This window comes from Homo sapiens, chromosome 11 (genome assembly GCF_000001405.40).
Source record: "Homo sapiens chromosome 11, GRCh38.p14 Primary Assembly".
NCBI lineage: Eukaryota > Metazoa > Chordata > Mammalia > Primates > Hominidae > Homo > Homo sapiens.
The window spans coordinates 78,407,354-78,423,668 of record NC_000011.10 but is presented as its reverse complement, the minus strand read 5'-3'; the positions used below and the strand labels follow the sequence as shown (position 1 = coordinate 78,423,668).

Sequence of the window (16,315 nt, the reverse complement as noted above, 5' to 3'; positions counted from 1 at the left end):
TATATTGTCGGACAATCATCTTGGGTAATTCTGGTAGAATTATATAGTTAGATGAGGTGAAATCCTGAGGCCTCTAGGTTCCCAGCAAAACAAAGACTAGCAAGCCTGCACAGTTACTATGCAATTTATCAGGTGCAGAAGGAAATGACGTTTCTGGTCATCTGTTGAATAAAGCCACTTTGAGTTCAGGGGACATGGTTTTCTCCAGCTTCACTAGTGTTGCATCTGGTACAAGGGGTTAAGTGCTAAACCCCTGTAGGATTGTCACAGTGAAGCCAGATAACAGAGTAACCGCAAAGAGATTTAATTCTGTAGTCCCACAAAGGAGGGTGTGTAAAGAGTGTACAACAGTGTCAGAGTTTGGAAACCAAGGGTTGACAAAGTTGGTTCTCTGGAATCTGGGGGTACCAGTTAAAAGGTTAAAAGGAGTCATTGTTTTCTGAAACTATCCAAGAGTTACAGCCATGTTTTTTTGTTTTTGTTTTTGTTTTTAAGATTTCGGGGGAATCTTATTTTCTCACATGTTTCTGGAATTTTTCTTTTTTTTTTAATTTAAGTTCCAGGGTACATGTGCAGGATGTGCAGGTTTGTTACATAGGTAAATGTGTGCTATGGTGGTGTGCTGCACCTATCAACCCATGACCAAGGTATTAAGCTCAGCAAGCATTAGCTATTTTTCCTAATGCTCTCCCTCCCCCAACCCCCTACCCACTCACAGGTCCCAGTGTGTGTTTCCCTCCCTGTGTCCTGTGTTCTCGTTGTTCAGCTCCCACTTATAAGTGAGAACATGCGGTGTTTGGTTTTCTGTTCCTGTGTTAGTTTGATGAGGATAACGCCTTCCAGCTCCATCCATGTCCCTGCAAAGGACATGATCTCGTTCCTTTCTATGTCGAGTTACAACCATTTTTAAAAGTGGAACTGCACAGGATTACCTCAGCCTGCTAAGTCCTTCCAGCTAGGCCGTCCCTGTGGGTTTAAACGCAATGTAAAGAAAGTGGATGTTAAGTGTTCTTACCACAAAAATGATAACTATATTAGTTAATGCATTTGTTAGTTAGCTAGATTTAACCATCCCACAGTGTATTTTATGTATTTGTATTTATATTTCAAAACATCATATTGTACATAATAAACACATCGATGTTATCTGACAATTTTTATTAAAAAAAACCACTCCAGCCACTTATAGGTACCTTCACAAATACTATTCTCTGGTTTGTATGGATCAGAGAGTTCTAGATGTTCCAGTAGTCTACAGCCCCAACCTGTCATCCTTTAAGGGTTGGTTCCTTCATTCTCACAATGAACATTTAATGAGCATCTATTCTGTGCTGGTACCATGCTGGGAAGCTCTGGGAATACAAAAATGAGGAAGGGCCAGATGTGGTAGCTCATGCCTGTAATCCCAGAACTTTGGGACACCAAGGCAGGAAGATCACTTGAGCCCAGGAGTTTGAGACCACTCTGGGCAACATAGCAAGACATTGTCTCTAAAAAAATAATAAGTGAGAAAAACACATTCATGTCTTCAAGGAACTCACAATTCCTCGACAAGGAAATATTTGCTGTACAGTGTGATAATCCAATTTATATAAGTGCAGTGTGGATACCAAGAAAAGAGTGAACAACTTTGCTGGAGAATGGGGACAGTCAGTTTTAGGGAAAGAGGTCTTGACGTATGTTCAAGATCTAATTCAAGGTAGGAGTTCTCTCTGCAGAGCAAATAAAAGGAGCCAGCATTGCAGAGTGTGGTTTGGAAGACTACAGCACTTTCTCAAGGATCTTGACAGTCTTTGTTCTTGGTGGATTATGACAACTGATTTACCAGTGTCAGCAGCAAAGTCGTGGGAGCCTAACTGCCACAGAGCCATTAGCACTGATTCTGGTTATTTTCAAAGGAGAAATTGGGAAAATGGGATTGCTCAAGCTTTTCTCTAAGAAAGTTTTTTTTTGTTTGTTTGTTTGTTTTTTGAGACAGAGTCTCACTCTTGTCGCCCAGGCTAGAGTGCAATGGTGCGATCTCAGCTCATTGCAACCTCCACCTCCCAGGTTCCAGCAATTCTCCTGCCTCAGCCTCCCAAGTAGCTGGGATTACAGGTGCCCGCCACCACACCCAGCTAATTTTTGTATTTTTAGTAGAGTTGGGGTTTCACCATGTTGGCCAGGCTGGTCTCAAACTCCTGACCTCAAGTGATTCACCCGCCTCAGTGTCCCAAAGTGTTGGCATTGCAGGCATGAGGCACCGCACCCGGCCAAAAGTTTATTTTCAAAATGTCTCCCACTGGGTATAGTGTCAAGTAACTCTCAGACTATTAGCCACAGACAGGGAGGAAACCCAATTAGGTCTTTAACCCCACCCCATTCCCACTTCCAGATCTCATCCTCAACCAGATGCCCAGAGTTGACTTGAGTAAGTTAAGGTAATTTGATATAGGGAACCATGTGGGCCTCAAGTAACTAGGGGTTAAAGAAGCATACACCTTTATATGCCTGAGAGATGAGTGTCCTGAAAGACACCAGCTGAGGTGGTTCAGCTGGTCACACTGACCTTCGTAAGCAGCACTCAGTTCTGAAATTAACCTGTCAACTAAATTGAAGGGGAGAAAAAGCAGAAGGGCTAGCACACAAACATCCATCCCCACCCCCAGTCCAATCACTGACGTCAGGCCTGGCGTGGGTGGTATTAATCACACAAGCTTGGTGTGCAGTTGAGGACAGCTCTCCTTCCAGCCCTTCAACCCGTTTCTGAAAGCATTCCACCAGCCATGCACCTGCCGCTGGCCACAAACCCTCAACTCCCAGACAGGCACGGATGCAGCGACGGATGTCCCTGACGACACTCAAAGCCACAGTGCACCCTTTAGAACCCCAGGCTTTGTGGGGAGTGGGAGTAGCTATGAGCGGGGGCCAAAGTGGTACCCATGCTCTCCCAGTGTGCATTTCTCTAATCTCTGCAGTGCTCCCTCCTCATAAGATAGTCATTTCCTGAGAATTTAATAAGAATATAAGATTAATGACCCAAAGCACTCTTGGAGCCGGCGATTAATTCCCCCAGGAAATACCAGTGGTCTTTAAACAAAATTGCCTAAATTATGGGCTAGTGATGCATGTCCGCTCAGGGCTTGGGGGTGGGGGGATTGTCACCCCAACTGGTTCCGATAGATGGCGCCTATCTTCATGTAAATCATTCAAATGATTTGTTTTCCATTTTTTTCCCAGCAAAAACCGGGGACCATTTAAACAGACACACACAGCAGGGAGTGGAGAGGACTTAGTAAAAGCCCAGACAGGAACTTTCCGTCCAAGGGTTGTTTCCAGGCCTGGCACGCCTCTCAGGCTCAAAAGACTGAGCCACTCCAGGGTGCAGCCAGGGACTTGAGCAGCAGTCTTGCTTCCTATGCACAGCCCGAGATGGGCACTAGCAGCAAGAGGGACGCAGGGTGGGAGTCCAGCTGAAGAGCACAGTAAAAAAGCCCCTTTCGGCCGGGCTCACGCCTGTAATCCCAGCACTTTGGGAAGCCGAGGCAGGCGGATTACGAGGTCAGGAGATCGAGACCATCCTGGCTAACATGGTGAAACCCCGTCTCTACTAAAAAAAAATACAAAACATTAGCTGGGCGTGGTGACGGGCGCCTGTAGTACCAGCTACTAGGGAGGCTGAGGCAGGAGAATGGCGTGAACCTGGGAGGCGGAGCTGGCAGTGAGCGGAGATCACGCCACTGCACTCTAGCCTGGGCAACAGAGCGAGACTCCGTCTAAAAAAAAAAAAAAAAGCTCCTTTCTTTAACCTTTGGGGAAAGATGGGGGTGTTCAGAGAACCCTTCCCAAAGTCGATACCTGGTGACTGTTGTATTCATATTTCAAGGTCCCTCCTGCCATTGGCCAAACAAGAAACATCAAACTTTTCCATTTCCACATGAAATTGTAAATAACACCATCTTTTCCTAAGCAAACAAAATAAGACTTTAAGGAATTTCTGGCAGAATATGACCTAACCCCCACTAACTCTTGCTAAACAGTCTTCCAGTCTGTGTATTGAATCATGTAACTATCAAAGGATACGTAAGACTACTCTTCTGGGGGAAGATAGGGCATACGTATGCCTGACTTGCATCACAAACCTCAGCTGCAGCCAAACCATGCAGATTTCTCCGACTCTGCAATCTCTGGGACTTGGCACCATGACTCAGATGTGAATGAAGTCAGGATAGTTTTATTTTGGTTGGAAGTCACCGCCTCCTGATTGATTTGGCAGACGTTAAGTGTTGTTTGTCTTACAGGGATTTAAGGTACTTAAAGCCAGAAGTTAAAATGGCCATCATTCTGGTGGTGGCCCTTCATACGTGACTTAAGGATCCCTAAATTGTAAGGTTAAGGGAGCTGTGGTCCCAGCCTACCAGTTCTGGCTTTACTTCCCATCCAGCAGCACACTGGATATTGAAGAAAGTCAGTGAAATGTTAGATCCAGGGGACTGACCGCTAAAACTCCCAGGGTATCTAGAAGAGCTAAGTACGTGGTAGGGGATTCGCTTTTCCAAATTGAGGAGGGTGAACTTCCCCCAACCCAATCAAGATCTTTTGGACCAAATGATGTCCAACTGCTTGAAACAACTCAGCTGCACAGAGACAGAAATAAACAAAACAGCTTTAGTCTGAGGTTGTGTGGGGCACTGCAAGATGCTGCTTCTCCAATTCATCTGTCCACACAGCACGGTTCCCCATTGAATAAACAGGTTACTATCCACTTATCAGAGAAGTTAGGGAGGACCTGCCTTTTAATGCTGCTTAGAGAGACACTTTGTGATGAGAAAAGAGCTCGTACAAAAGATTTTTTTCTCCCCCCTCCCGCTGAAGTGCTGGGGTTGTGTGCTTCCACGTACATCTGGGATACCATTATATTTACAAACAGAGGTCTCATAGCCTGTGTCAATGAGCGGGAACGTTGGGGAATTTGGACCCCAATTTCTTGTTCTTCTGCACTTGACCTTGCCTTCCAATTCGTTATGAAATACATTGACTAGTTTTGCTTCTTCCATTCTACAAATCATGCGAATTTTCTATACTAAACTGTGTTTTCCCAGAGGCAGTGTAGGAGGGAGTCAGCTGGACTTGGTTTCCAGGCAATGAGAGGCTCCCAGGTCGATCCCATTAAGGCAATGCCCTCATTTTGAATAGCAGATGACCGGGACCCCTCCTCCCCCACACACCTGAATTGGAAAATTGGCTCGGCTTTGTACAAGCCCTTGCCCTTAGGCTGTCCATAAAATAGGAACAATACTGAAGACAATCCTGTAAGCTACAAAAGCAAAGGCTCCGGCGCGTAGTAGGTCCGTCTCCTCCTCCCGCCGAGGGACGCCAGAGTTAAGGAGCTTCTTGCTGGGAAGGGGTCCCTCCTTTCAGCCGGAACCTGACCCGCAGAATGTATCGGAAATGTGAGCAGCCCTAGTATCCCTTCCCCGTCGACGCTCGGTGAAAAATCGATCGACGACCGAGGGCGCGCAGTCCCTTCCCCTCACACCCGCCAGCGCCAGGGGCGCGGTCGCCTCCCTGGCCTCCGCGCCCGCGGCTTGGGGCCTCAGGAGAAAGCGAGACTCCGGGGCGCGCCGGCGGCGGTGGCTTTCTGTATCCTCGCGGGTCCCTAGCCCCGCGTCCGCGTGCGCGGCGGCCTCGGGGGCGCGGCGGGAGCGGGCGTGGCGAGCGAGCCGGCCTTCCTGCTGCAGCTGCTCCCCCGGCGGCCGGGCGGAGAGTGCGGATTGCGCGCGCTCGGGGCGGGGGAGCGGGCGCGCGCGAGGCTGCCGGGCTCGCGCCGCGCCGCGCCGCCTAGTCCCCGCCGGGCCGCCCGCCCCGCCCCTGGCCTCCCGCGAGCTGCGCACCGCCGGCCGCTGCCCCAGCTGCCCGAGCCCGCGCCCTCGTCCGCGCGACCCGGCGGGGGGCTCCAGGCCGGCAGCATGAGCGGCGGCGGCGACGTGGTGTGCACCGGCTGGCTGAGGAAATCGCCTCCCGAGAAGAAGTTGAGGCGCTATGTGAGTGCGGGCGCGGCCGCCCAGGGGCGGGCGGGGGGCGCTCCGGGGCCTGCGGAGGGGCGGGGGACTCCCGGAGGGGCGGCAGGCTGGGGAGCTCGGGCCCGGAGCCGCGGGGGGCCGGGGGCGAGGAGCGGCCGGGGGCGTGTGGGGCACCTGCACACCTGTCACAGGTGGGCCGCCGAGGGGCGGGGCGGGCGGCAGGTTGAGGCTGCGGCTCCTGCTCCGCCAGGCGGGTGCGGCTGCGGCGCCTCCCAAGCCGGTCTGCTCGTGAACTAAATACAGTGTCGAAGTTTTGTATTGATGGCTTCTGGAGACCGAGAGAGTTGACTCTCGGGGCTGGGGCTCCGCGGCAGCCCCGAGCAGCTTCAGCCCGCAGGGTCGGGGAGAGGGCGGGAAAGGGGGGCGTAGGCTGTGGGGCCGCGCGGACGGCCCCACAAAGGGCGAGCGCCTCACGCCCTCTCCTTCCCTTTCTCCGCCTGCCCCTCCCGGCCGCCGGCCTCCCTCCGTCCGCGGCTGCATCACCGGCAGCGTCAGCGGCATGTGCAGCCCTTGTATTAAGTGACTCATTTGTTTGTCCCCCTTCTTTCCCTTTATTCCGTTCGTCTCTCACAGGCGCCTCCCCCCGACCCCGGTGTGACACTGCAGTTTGGTCCCCGTGGCTGGCCCGGGTTTGGGACCGGGCAGCTCCCGGGTGTCTGGGGTCGGGAGAGATCGAGGCTCTCCGCGGCCAGGTGTTGCCAACCGACAGTGTTTACTGAGATCGCTGGAACAGCCTTTTCCCTCTAGGTGGGGAACTGGCAGCCTGGGGGAGGTGGAACAGCGTGGCGCTGAGCCGTGGAGTTCTGGCTTTTTTTTTTTTTTTTTTTAACCCCTCTCCCCAGAGGATGCCTTGCCTGGTGAGGTCAAAGTACAAGATGGTGCCAGTTACTGAGATTTGGCCGAAATGGTCTTGGGGTAGTCGCGGGAGTTTGGAAGTGGGGGTAAGGTTGCTGGAAGGTTTCAAGGTCTCTCATCTGCTCCCTCTCCGTTTCCCATGAAATGCCCTTGTTTAACGGGCTGTGGTGCCGAACTCCGGGATCACTCCCACAGCCTGGAAGGGAGCCGTTGCCTCCAGCTGCAGTGCATCAAGGGAGCTCGGAATAGACCCTGCCCTCTGTCAGCTGCACCAGTGGCTGTCCATGGGGGGAGAGGCAGAAGCCTACCAGAATTTCCTGTCTTGGCTCCCCAGATCAGAATCAAGGGACTTCTGGCCTCTGGACTGAGGAAGTGACATTCTGTTTTTCAAAGGAAGTGTTGTTGTTGCGGAGTACAAGTGTGTGTCAATGAAATCAGGCTCTTAGGTAGATGTTTGCTGGGGGAAAAAAATCTAAGGATTTAGCACATGAGTTTTGAAAGTGGACGTGGATTTATAGGAGGAATGAAGCAGTGAATTGTTCATCTCAGTTCGGAAGCTCATTTTTAGGAGTGTCTATGTAGCCAAAGTATAATTATTAAGAAATAAACTTTTTTCCTCTTCAGGGTTGTATCAGTTCGTTAGGAAGGTTGAATATTTTAATTAGGATTAAGGAGCAGTGATTTACTATTAACAATTTTATAAATAATTTAAAAACTTTGTCCCGAAGAGCTTCCAAAAATTATCTATACAAATAGATTTCCATACAAGCTAGTGGAATACAGTGTCCACAGTAAAAAAAAAAAAAAAAAAAGTGACCCTTAATTTTCAAGTTTGAACACTATACACTAAAGAACCTTGAAAGTTGTTTTTGAAACAATTTGCAAACAGTATGACACTGTATCTACATTTGACTTATCGCTCCTTGAACTCTCACCCAGACTCTATGACCCATTTCTTGGGTGTTTTTGTTCCCAAACAACTTTAGTTCAAAATAACCAGGTTTGGAGGCATTTGGGTCAAGCACCTTTTTCACTGATTTGAACGAATCTAGTCGTATGATGGCCTTAGCCTCTCTTTCCCATCTTCCATGTACCTTCAGCCCATCAGGTGTCAGACCTTAACAGCTTTAAGTAACAGCTTTTCTTAGGTTAGGATGTGATGTGTTCACTTACATGACTGGAAGCCTCTGCCCCTTCGGAAGTTCAGTTTCCCCCTAACTGAAACTGGTGATATGTGTAACCTTAAGCCTCTGGGGAACAGTATGCCTTTACATCTACTTTTCTTTTGGGGTATTCAGAATTTTTGCATCCTGTTGTAAGTTAAAACTCTGCTAGTTTGCTTATTTCAGTAGAGGCCCGAGTTCATTAGAACCAAGCTTGGAAAGTATTTCCCAGCCCCATGGCTGTATATTTACCCCAAAGTAGCTGCTGCTTCTGGTATACATCATAGGCGTGTTATATTGTAGATTGAGAAATCCTCATTATAAGAATACATCGAGCATATGTGATAAGGGGAAAAAGTAGTTGAACTAGGTTATAACTATTTAAAACGATTTTTTAAAAAACTGACTTAATTTGAAGTCTGGGCGCAGTGGCTTATGCCTGTAATCCCAGCACTTTGGGAGGCTGAGGCGGGTGGATCACTGGAGGTCAGAAGTTCGAGACCAGCCTGGCCAATGTGGTGAAACCCCGTCTCTACCATAAATATAAAAATTAGCTGGGCGTCATGGAGGGCATCTGTAGTCCCAGCTACTCAGGAGGCTGAGACATGAGAATCGCGTGAGCCCGGGAGGCTGAGGTTGCAGTGAGCCGAGATCGTACCACTGCACTCCAGCCTGGGTGACAAAACGAGACTCCATTTCAAAGAAAAACAAAAAAACTTACTTAATTCGGAAAGACGGGAAGGTGTAGAGGGGAAAAACATCTTAGAAGAAGCAAAGGCAAATGTTTGAGCAATTAGTTTTCAGGGATTTTTTTCATCAGCCTTTTCTAGTTAATTAAGTATAAGTATAAGAGACCTATCTGCTATTTACTGAGTGCCCTGGAGAAATTGCAAAAAGTGTCTCTGGAAAATGCTGACTATTGCCTCTGGGGCATCCTGATATGGCTGCAGTGGGAGGCCGGCAGAAGTAACAACCCTCCCATCGTGCCTCAGTGTATTTGTGTGTGTATGCGCGTGCATGCAAATGCATACACACGTACATGTATATAATTATTAAACAGAATTTTCTTGAGGAAAAACATTTTATTAATATGACCTACACTGCATTGTAGTTTTCTATCAATTTCACTGGATTAAAAGATTGAGGGAATAAGATTGGCAGACTACCCCCTAGTGGCTAACTTGAAGAAAGTTGTGCACAAATTGTAAAGAACTACTGCATTAAGGTAACAGTAATTGTTTATTTCCATTATATTTATTAAATATACTTATTAAATCTATGTCCCAGGCACTGGATCAGGTGCTTGGAATAAAAATCCAGTAAACAGAAAAAAAAATTAATCCAGTCTTTCAGTCTTAGCAATGGCTTTGCCTTCTCCTTCAAAGGAAAATTGAAATGATGAGGGAGTAGTTGTCTGTACGTACGATGAATGGCCACATTTTCAAATTTACTTGTATCTGCATAGTTCCTTTCTTTCTTCCTTTTTTTTTTTTTTTTTTTTGAGACAGAGTTTCACTTTTGTTGCCTAGGCTGGAGTGCAATGCACGATCTGGGCTCACTGCAACCTTTGCCTCCTGGGTTCAAGCGATTCTCCTGCCTCAGCCTCCCAAGTAGCTGGGATTACAGGCATGCATCACCACACCTGGCTAATTTTGTATTTTTAGTAGAGATGAGGCTTGACCACGTTGGTGAGGCTGGTCTTGAACTCCTGACCTCAGGTGATCCACCCGCCTCGGCCTCCCACAGTGCTGGGATTACAGACAGACATGAGCCACCGCGCCCAGCCTGCATGGTTCCTTTCTTGTTTCCTTTTCTTAGAGTAGATGAAGTGCCACTTCTATCTGAGCTAATCCTGCTACTTATACTTTGAATCATATCTTCTCCTCCCTACTCAAATAATTCTTATCCTGTAACACATCTTCAACTTCTTTCCCTCTCTGTACTACCTACTTTTTTTCAGGGATAAACTTGGTGGTGGTTTATGCAGTCTTCCTTTCTCCCACCTTCTTCTCAGTCGGCTCCAGTGGAAACCTACTTTGTTATTCACCAAAGCTATTCTGACAAAGGCACCAGCGATACCCAGGTCACTAAACTCAGAGGATGATTTTTTACTCCTCATTTTAATTAATCTCTTCACTGCTTGGTCATAGTTGACCACTCTTTTTTAAAACACCTTCCTCTTATCTTGGCTGACACTATAAATGCCTGTTATTTCTCCTTTTCTGGCTACTCTATATTTCCTTTGCTAGACTGACCCTTTTATCCAGTCCTTAAAGGTTGAAGCTCCTTTATAGTCATAGTGGCTGTGTGGTTTCTCCCCTTTGGCAACCTTGTCCATTCTACTGGCTTCAGTTATCATTTGCATGGTGGTCATCAAGTTAAATTTCCATCTCAGAGTTGTGTTCTGAACTTCAGACTTACATATCCAACTGTTAACTGGGCATCTCTATTTGAATGTTTCCCAGTCAACACAAACTCACCACTTCCAAAACTAAACTCTTCTTTGTTCATCTCTTCACTCCACATCTGCTCAGTAAACAGTGCCACTAAGCACCTACTTGCTCAGATGAGAAACTTGGGCATCATCTTTGACTCCCCGTCACCCACTATCCCACATCTAATCTGTCACCAAAACCCATTAGTGGTATCATCTAAATATCTTGTTATACGCTTCTTCATCCCCACTGCCATGACTTTTAGGATTATTTTAGTAGCCATCTGTTGAGCACTTACTTTGTACCAGGCACTATGCTTAGACCATTGATCTTTTAATGTAGTAATTTAGCCCTATAATAAGGGAAGCAACTTACCCAAAGTCATCTAGCTTTGTCCTAAAGCCTGGGCTTTTTAAAAAAATTAAACATTTCATTTTGAGGTAATTCTACATGCACATCTAGTTGTAAGAAATAGTAAACAAAGATTTATGTAGCCATTATCCAGTTTTCCTTAATGGTAACATCTTGCAAAATTATAGTACAGTATCACAACAGTATATTGACAATGATACAGTCAAGATACAGAGCATTTCCATCATGATAGGATTTTTTATGTTGCCCTTTTATAATCGTATTCACTACCATCCCACCCCTACCACATCCTTAATCTGTGACAACTACTAATCTGTTCTCTGATATTTCATGTGTGTTATTTAAATGGATTCATGCAGTACTTAAGATTTTGAACTTTTTTTTATTCAGCATAATTCTCTGGAGATTCATCCTCATTTCATGCATCAATAGTTATTGTTTTTTATTGCTAAGTAGTATTTCATGGTATGGATGTACCACACAGTCTGTTTATTTAACCATTCACCCGTTAGTTCTCATTTACATTTCCCTTATGGCTAATGATGTTGAACATCTTTTCATATGATTATTTGCCATCTGTATATCCTCTTTGGTCAAATGTCTTCAAGAATTTGAGTATTTTATATATAGGTTTTTTTTTTTTGAGATGGAGTTTTGCTCTTGTTACCCAGGCTGGAGTGCAATGGCATGATCTCGGCTCCCCAGGTTCAAGTGATTCTCTTTGTTGTTGTTGTTGTTGTTGTTGTTGTTTTTAGACAGATTCTCACTCTGTCACCCAGGCTGGAGTGCGGTGGCACAGTCTTGGCTCACTGCAACCTCTGCCTCCCAGGTTCAAGCGATTCTCCTGCCTCAGCCTCCTGAGTAGCTGGGACTACAGGTGTGCGCCACCATGCCCAGCTCATTTTTGTATTTTTAGTAGAGACAGGGTTTCACCATGTTGGCCAGGATGGTCTCAATCTCTTGACCTCGTGATCCGCCCACCTTGGCCTCCCAAAGTGCTGGGATTACAGGCGTGAGCCACTGCGCCGGCTTTCCTGGTTTTTTTTTTTCTACACATTTTACAGGTTTATGTTTTTCCTTTAAGTCCGTGATCCACTGTGAGTTAATTTTCATGTAAGATGTGAGACTTAGATTGAGGTTCTTTTGTTGTTGTCATTGTTGTTGACAAAGCCATCCTACTTCCATTGAATTGCTTTTCCGTCTTTGTCAAAAATCAGTTGGACGTATTTGTGTGGGTCTGTTTCTGTTGTCTCTGTTTTGGTCCATTTTTCCATGTGTCTGTCCCTCTGCAAATACCATAGAATCTTGCCAACTCTAGCTATATTGTAAGTCTTGAAATCTGGTAGCCTGATTCCTCTACTTTATTCTTATTTTTCAAAGTGTTTTAGCTATTCTATTATCTTTACCTTTCAATACAAATTTTAGAATAATCTTGTTTATGCAAAAAAAAGAAAGTCTTGCTGAGATTTTAATAGGAAGTGCATTAATCCTGTGTACCAATTTGGGAAGAAATTACAGCTTTACTATATTAAATCTTCCAGTCCATGAATTTATTTTACATTTATTTATATATGTCTTTCTTCCTTCGTTTATTTTCTTCTCCTTCCACCATCCCCCCCCCCAACCACCCCCACCAGAATCTTGCTGTGTCACACAGGCTGGCGACAGTGGCACAATCATGGCTCACTGCAGCCTCAAATTCCTGGGCTCAGGTGATCCTACTGTCTCAGCCTCCCAAGTAATTGGGACGACAGCTGCGTACTGCTGTGCCTGGCTAATTTTTTTTTTTATTATTTGTAGAGACAGGGTCTCCCTGCGTTGCCCAGGCTGGTCTCACACTCCGGAGCTTAAGCAGTCCTCCCACCTTGGCTTCCCAGAGTGCTGCGATTATAGGTGTGAACCACCATGTCTAGCCTTCTGGAAGAGATGGTGTAGAACTGGTATAATTCTTTAAACCTTTGGTAGAATTCTCCAGATTAAACCATCTGGATCTGGAAATGTCTTTGTTAGGAATTTTTTACATTTTTAATCCAATTTCTTTAATAGATACGGGGTTCTTCAAATTATCTACTTCATATTGGCTGAATTATAGAAGTTTACATTTTTCAACAAATTGGTCCATTTTGTCTAAGTTGTTACATACATGTGAGTGGAGTTACAGTATCCTGTATTATGCTTTCAGTGTCTGCAGGGTCTGTAGTGGGTCCACTGCTTTATTTTTTTAACCCTTATTCTTGCATACTGACATTGCTTCATTATTATTTTTTGTTTGTTTTTTGAGACAGCATGTCACTCTGTCACCTGGGGTGGAGTGCAATGGCACGATCTCAGCTCACTACAACCTCCACCTCCCAGGTTCCAGCAGTTCTCCTGCCTCAGCCTCCCGAGCAGCTGGGATTGCAGGCATGTGCCACAATGCCCAGCTGATTTTTGTATTTTTAGTAGAGACAGGGTTTCACCATATTGGCCAGGCTGGTCTCAAACTCCTGACCTTAAGTGATCTGCCTGCTTTGGCCTCCCAAAGTGCTGCAATTACAGGCATGAGCCGCTGCACCTGGCCTCTGATTTTTTTATATAGTAGTTTATTCATTTGAGACTTTTCCTCTTATTTAATGTATTCATTTACTGCTATGAATTTCCCTCTCAGCACTGCTTTAGCTGTGTCCCACTAATTTTGATAAATTGCATTTTCAATTTTTATTTGCTCAGTATATATATATTTTTTTTACTTTCCTTGAGACTTTCCTCTTTGACCATGGATTATTTACAAGTACATTGTTTAGTTTCCAAATGTTTGGAGATTTTCCCATTATTTTTCTGTTTCTGTCTTTTAGTTGGAATTCATTGTGGGAGTAGAGTAAGTTCTATTTGATTTCAATTATTTTTAACTTGTCAAGGTTTATTTTATTGCTGAAAATGTGGTCTATCTTGCTTTAGGTTCCATGGGTACTTTGAAAAGAATGTTTATTCTGCTATTATTGGGTAAAGTATTCCATAAATGTCAATTATATCTTTTTGATTGATAGTGATATATATAATTCTTTTATATCCTTGCTGATTTTTCTATCTAGTTCTTCTGTCGATTGTTGAGAGACAGGGGTTGAAGTTTCCAACTATAATTGTGAATATTTCTGTTTCTCATTTCACTTATATCTGTTTTTGTTTCACATATTTTATTTTTTTTATTATTTTTTTGGAGATGGAGTTCCGCTGTTGTTGCCCAGGCTGGAGGTGCAATAGCATGATCTCAGCTCTCCGCAACCTCCACCTCCTGGGTGCAAGCAATTCTCCTGCCTCAGCCTCCCAAGTAGTTGGGATTACAGGCATGCGCCACCACACCCGGCTAATTTTGTATTTTTAATAGAGACAGGGTTTCTCCATGTTGGCCAGACTGGTCTCGAACTCCTGACCTCAGGTCATCCGCCTGCCTCGGCCTCCCAAAGTGCTGGGATTACAGACATGAGCCACCGCACCCAGCCCTGTTGTTCAATATATACACATTTAGAATTGCAACATCTTCTTGGTGGCATGACCCTTTTATCTTTATATAATACCTGCTGAGTCTCTGGTAATTTCTTTTGCTCTGAGGTCTACTTGTTATCTGATATATTATACAAGTATCTGAGGGCTACTTGATATATTATAGCCTATATCTGATGATATAGTTATTCTTGCTTTCCTTTTATTGATATTCACATGATACATCTTTTCCATCAATTTACTTTCAACCTACCCATATCATTGTATTTGAAGTGATATCTTATAGGTGGCATATTGTTGGGGTGTATTAATCCGTTCTCGCACTGCTGTAAAGAACTACCTGAGACTGGGTAATTTATCAAGAAAAGAGGTTTAATTGGCCCACAGTTCCACAAGCTGTACAGGAAGCATGGCTGGGGAGGCCTCAGGAAACTTACAGTCATGGCGGAAGGTGAGGGAGAAGCAGGCACATCTTACATGGCTGGAGCAGGAGGAAGAGAGTGAGGGGAGAGGTACTACACACTTCTAAATAACCAGATCTCACAATAACTCACTCACTATCATGAGAACAGCACCAAAGGGGAACTCCACCTCCATAATCCAATCATTTCCCATCAGGCCCCACCTCCAATATTTGGGGATGACAATTTGACCTCAGATTTGGGCAGGGACACATACCCAAACCATATCATGGGGCATGTTTTTAATCCACTGTGCTGATTTATGTCTTAATTGGTATATTTAAATTTACACTTAATATAATTTCTAATATGCTAGAGCTTAGTTCTGCCACTTTATTTTTTGTTTGTGTTCTGTTTTTGTTTTCTTCTTGCCTTCCTGTGAGTTTCTTGAATATTTTTTAGAATTCCATTTTGATTTATCTATATAGTGTTTTTGAGTGTATCTCTCTATACAGCTTTTTTAGTGGTTGCTCTAGGTATTATACTGTACATACAACAGTCAGTTGGTGTCGTCTTATAATCTAAATGAAGTCTGTATCATCATTTTACAAGTTTAAGTAAAGTATAGTAACCTTACCTCCCTTTATGTCCTTTTGCCATCCTCCATATATAATTGTCTTAAATATTTTTTTTATATCAGACAGTGCTATAATTTTTGCTTCAGTCATTAAACCTAATTTAGAAAACTCAGAAGGAAAGACTATTTAATTACATTTTTGTTTACTATGTGCTTTCTTCTTTGCTGATGTTTTCAGGTTCCTCTTTTTTTCATTTCCTTTCTGTTTAGAGAACTTCCTTTAGCCATTCTTTAGGGTAGATTGGCCAGTGATAAATTGTCTTTATTTTCCTTCACCTGAGAAGGTCTCATTTTCCCCTTCATTCTGATATTTTCACTGGATATTGAATTATTTAGTTGACACTTCTTTTCTTTGAGCACCTGTAAAATACTGCATCCTTTCCTTCTGGCCTGCATGGTTTCTAATGAAAAATCCATGGTCTTTCCAATTGCTTTCCCTCAGGAGGTAAAATGCCCTCTTTTTCTTTCTTTTCTTTTCTTTCTTTCTTTCTCTCTCTTTCTTTCTTTCTTTCTTTTTCTTTCTTTCTTTCTTTCTTTCTTTTTGGGACGGAAAATGCCATCTCTTTCTTTCTTTCTTTCTTTCTTTCTTTCTTTCTTTCTTTCTTACTTTCTTTCTTTCTTTCTTTCTTTGAGAAGGAGTTTCACTCTTGTCACCCAGGCTGGAATGCAATGGCACTATCTGGGCTCACTGCAATGTCTGCGTCCCAGGTTCAATAGATTCTCCTGCCTCAGCCTCCCTAGTAGCTGAGATTACAGGCGCTCACCACCACGCCCAGCTAATTTTTTTGTATTTTTGGTAGAGACAGGGTTTCACTATGTTGGCCAGGCTGGTCTTGAACTCCTGACCTCAGGTGATCCACCCAACTCAGCCTCCCAAAGTGCTGGGATTACAGGAGTGAGCCACCACGAC

The 16,315-nt window shown here is 44.8% G+C and overlaps 1 protein-coding gene across 1 annotated transcript in view, besides 7 other annotated features; it reads left to right on the top strand.

Annotated features, from left to right (window-relative positions):
• Positions 3,124-3,173: an enhancer, noted in NCBI's record as "active region_5322". NCBI's record gives its function as "activates an Ori minimal core promoter by ATAC-STARR-seq in GM12878 lymphoblastoid cells {active_cell/tissue: GM12878}" and the evidence as "EXISTENCE:reporter gene assay evidence [ECO:0000049][PMID:35858748]".
• Positions 5,460-6,079: a silencer, noted in NCBI's record as "silent region_3813". NCBI's record gives its function as "represses an Ori minimal core promoter by ATAC-STARR-seq in GM12878 lymphoblastoid cells {active_cell/tissue: GM12878}" and the evidence as "EXISTENCE:reporter gene assay evidence [ECO:0000049][PMID:35858748]".
• GAB2 (GRB2 associated binding protein 2) overlaps positions 5,849-16,315 on the top strand; it is a 202,528-nt gene continuing 192,061 nt past the window's right edge. The window contains exon 1 of the mRNA NM_080491.3: positions 5,849-6,023. Coding sequence (NP_536739.1) covers positions 5,949-6,023 — 75 coding nt within the window. The 5' untranslated portion in view covers positions 5,849-5,948. The remainder of the gene's footprint in view (positions 6,024-16,315) is intronic.
• Positions 6,109-6,863: an enhancer, noted in NCBI's record as "H3K27ac hESC enhancer chr11:78127852-78128606 (GRCh37/hg19 assembly coordinates)". NCBI's record gives its function as "activates a minimal SCP1, AML or CMV promoter by ChIP-STARR-seq in primed H9 embryonic stem cells {active_cell/tissue: H9 hESC(primed)}" and the evidence as "EXISTENCE:reporter gene assay evidence [ECO:0000049][PMID:30033119]".
• Positions 6,190-6,289: a silencer, noted in NCBI's record as "silent region_3812". NCBI's record gives its function as "represses an Ori minimal core promoter by ATAC-STARR-seq in GM12878 lymphoblastoid cells {active_cell/tissue: GM12878}" and the evidence as "EXISTENCE:reporter gene assay evidence [ECO:0000049][PMID:35858748]".
• Positions 6,360-6,489: a silencer, noted in NCBI's record as "silent region_3811". NCBI's record gives its function as "represses an Ori minimal core promoter by ATAC-STARR-seq in GM12878 lymphoblastoid cells {active_cell/tissue: GM12878}" and the evidence as "EXISTENCE:reporter gene assay evidence [ECO:0000049][PMID:35858748]".
• Positions 6,952-7,246: a silencer, noted in NCBI's record as "tiled region #74; K562 Repressive non-DNase unmatched - State 1:Tss". NCBI's record gives its function as "represses a minimal TATA promoter and a strong SV40 promoter by Sharpr-MPRA in K562 cells {active_cell/tissue: K562}" and the evidence as "EXISTENCE:reporter gene assay evidence [ECO:0000049][PMID:27701403]".
• Positions 9,813-9,942: an enhancer, noted in NCBI's record as "active region_5321". NCBI's record gives its function as "activates an Ori minimal core promoter by ATAC-STARR-seq in GM12878 lymphoblastoid cells {active_cell/tissue: GM12878}" and the evidence as "EXISTENCE:reporter gene assay evidence [ECO:0000049][PMID:35858748]".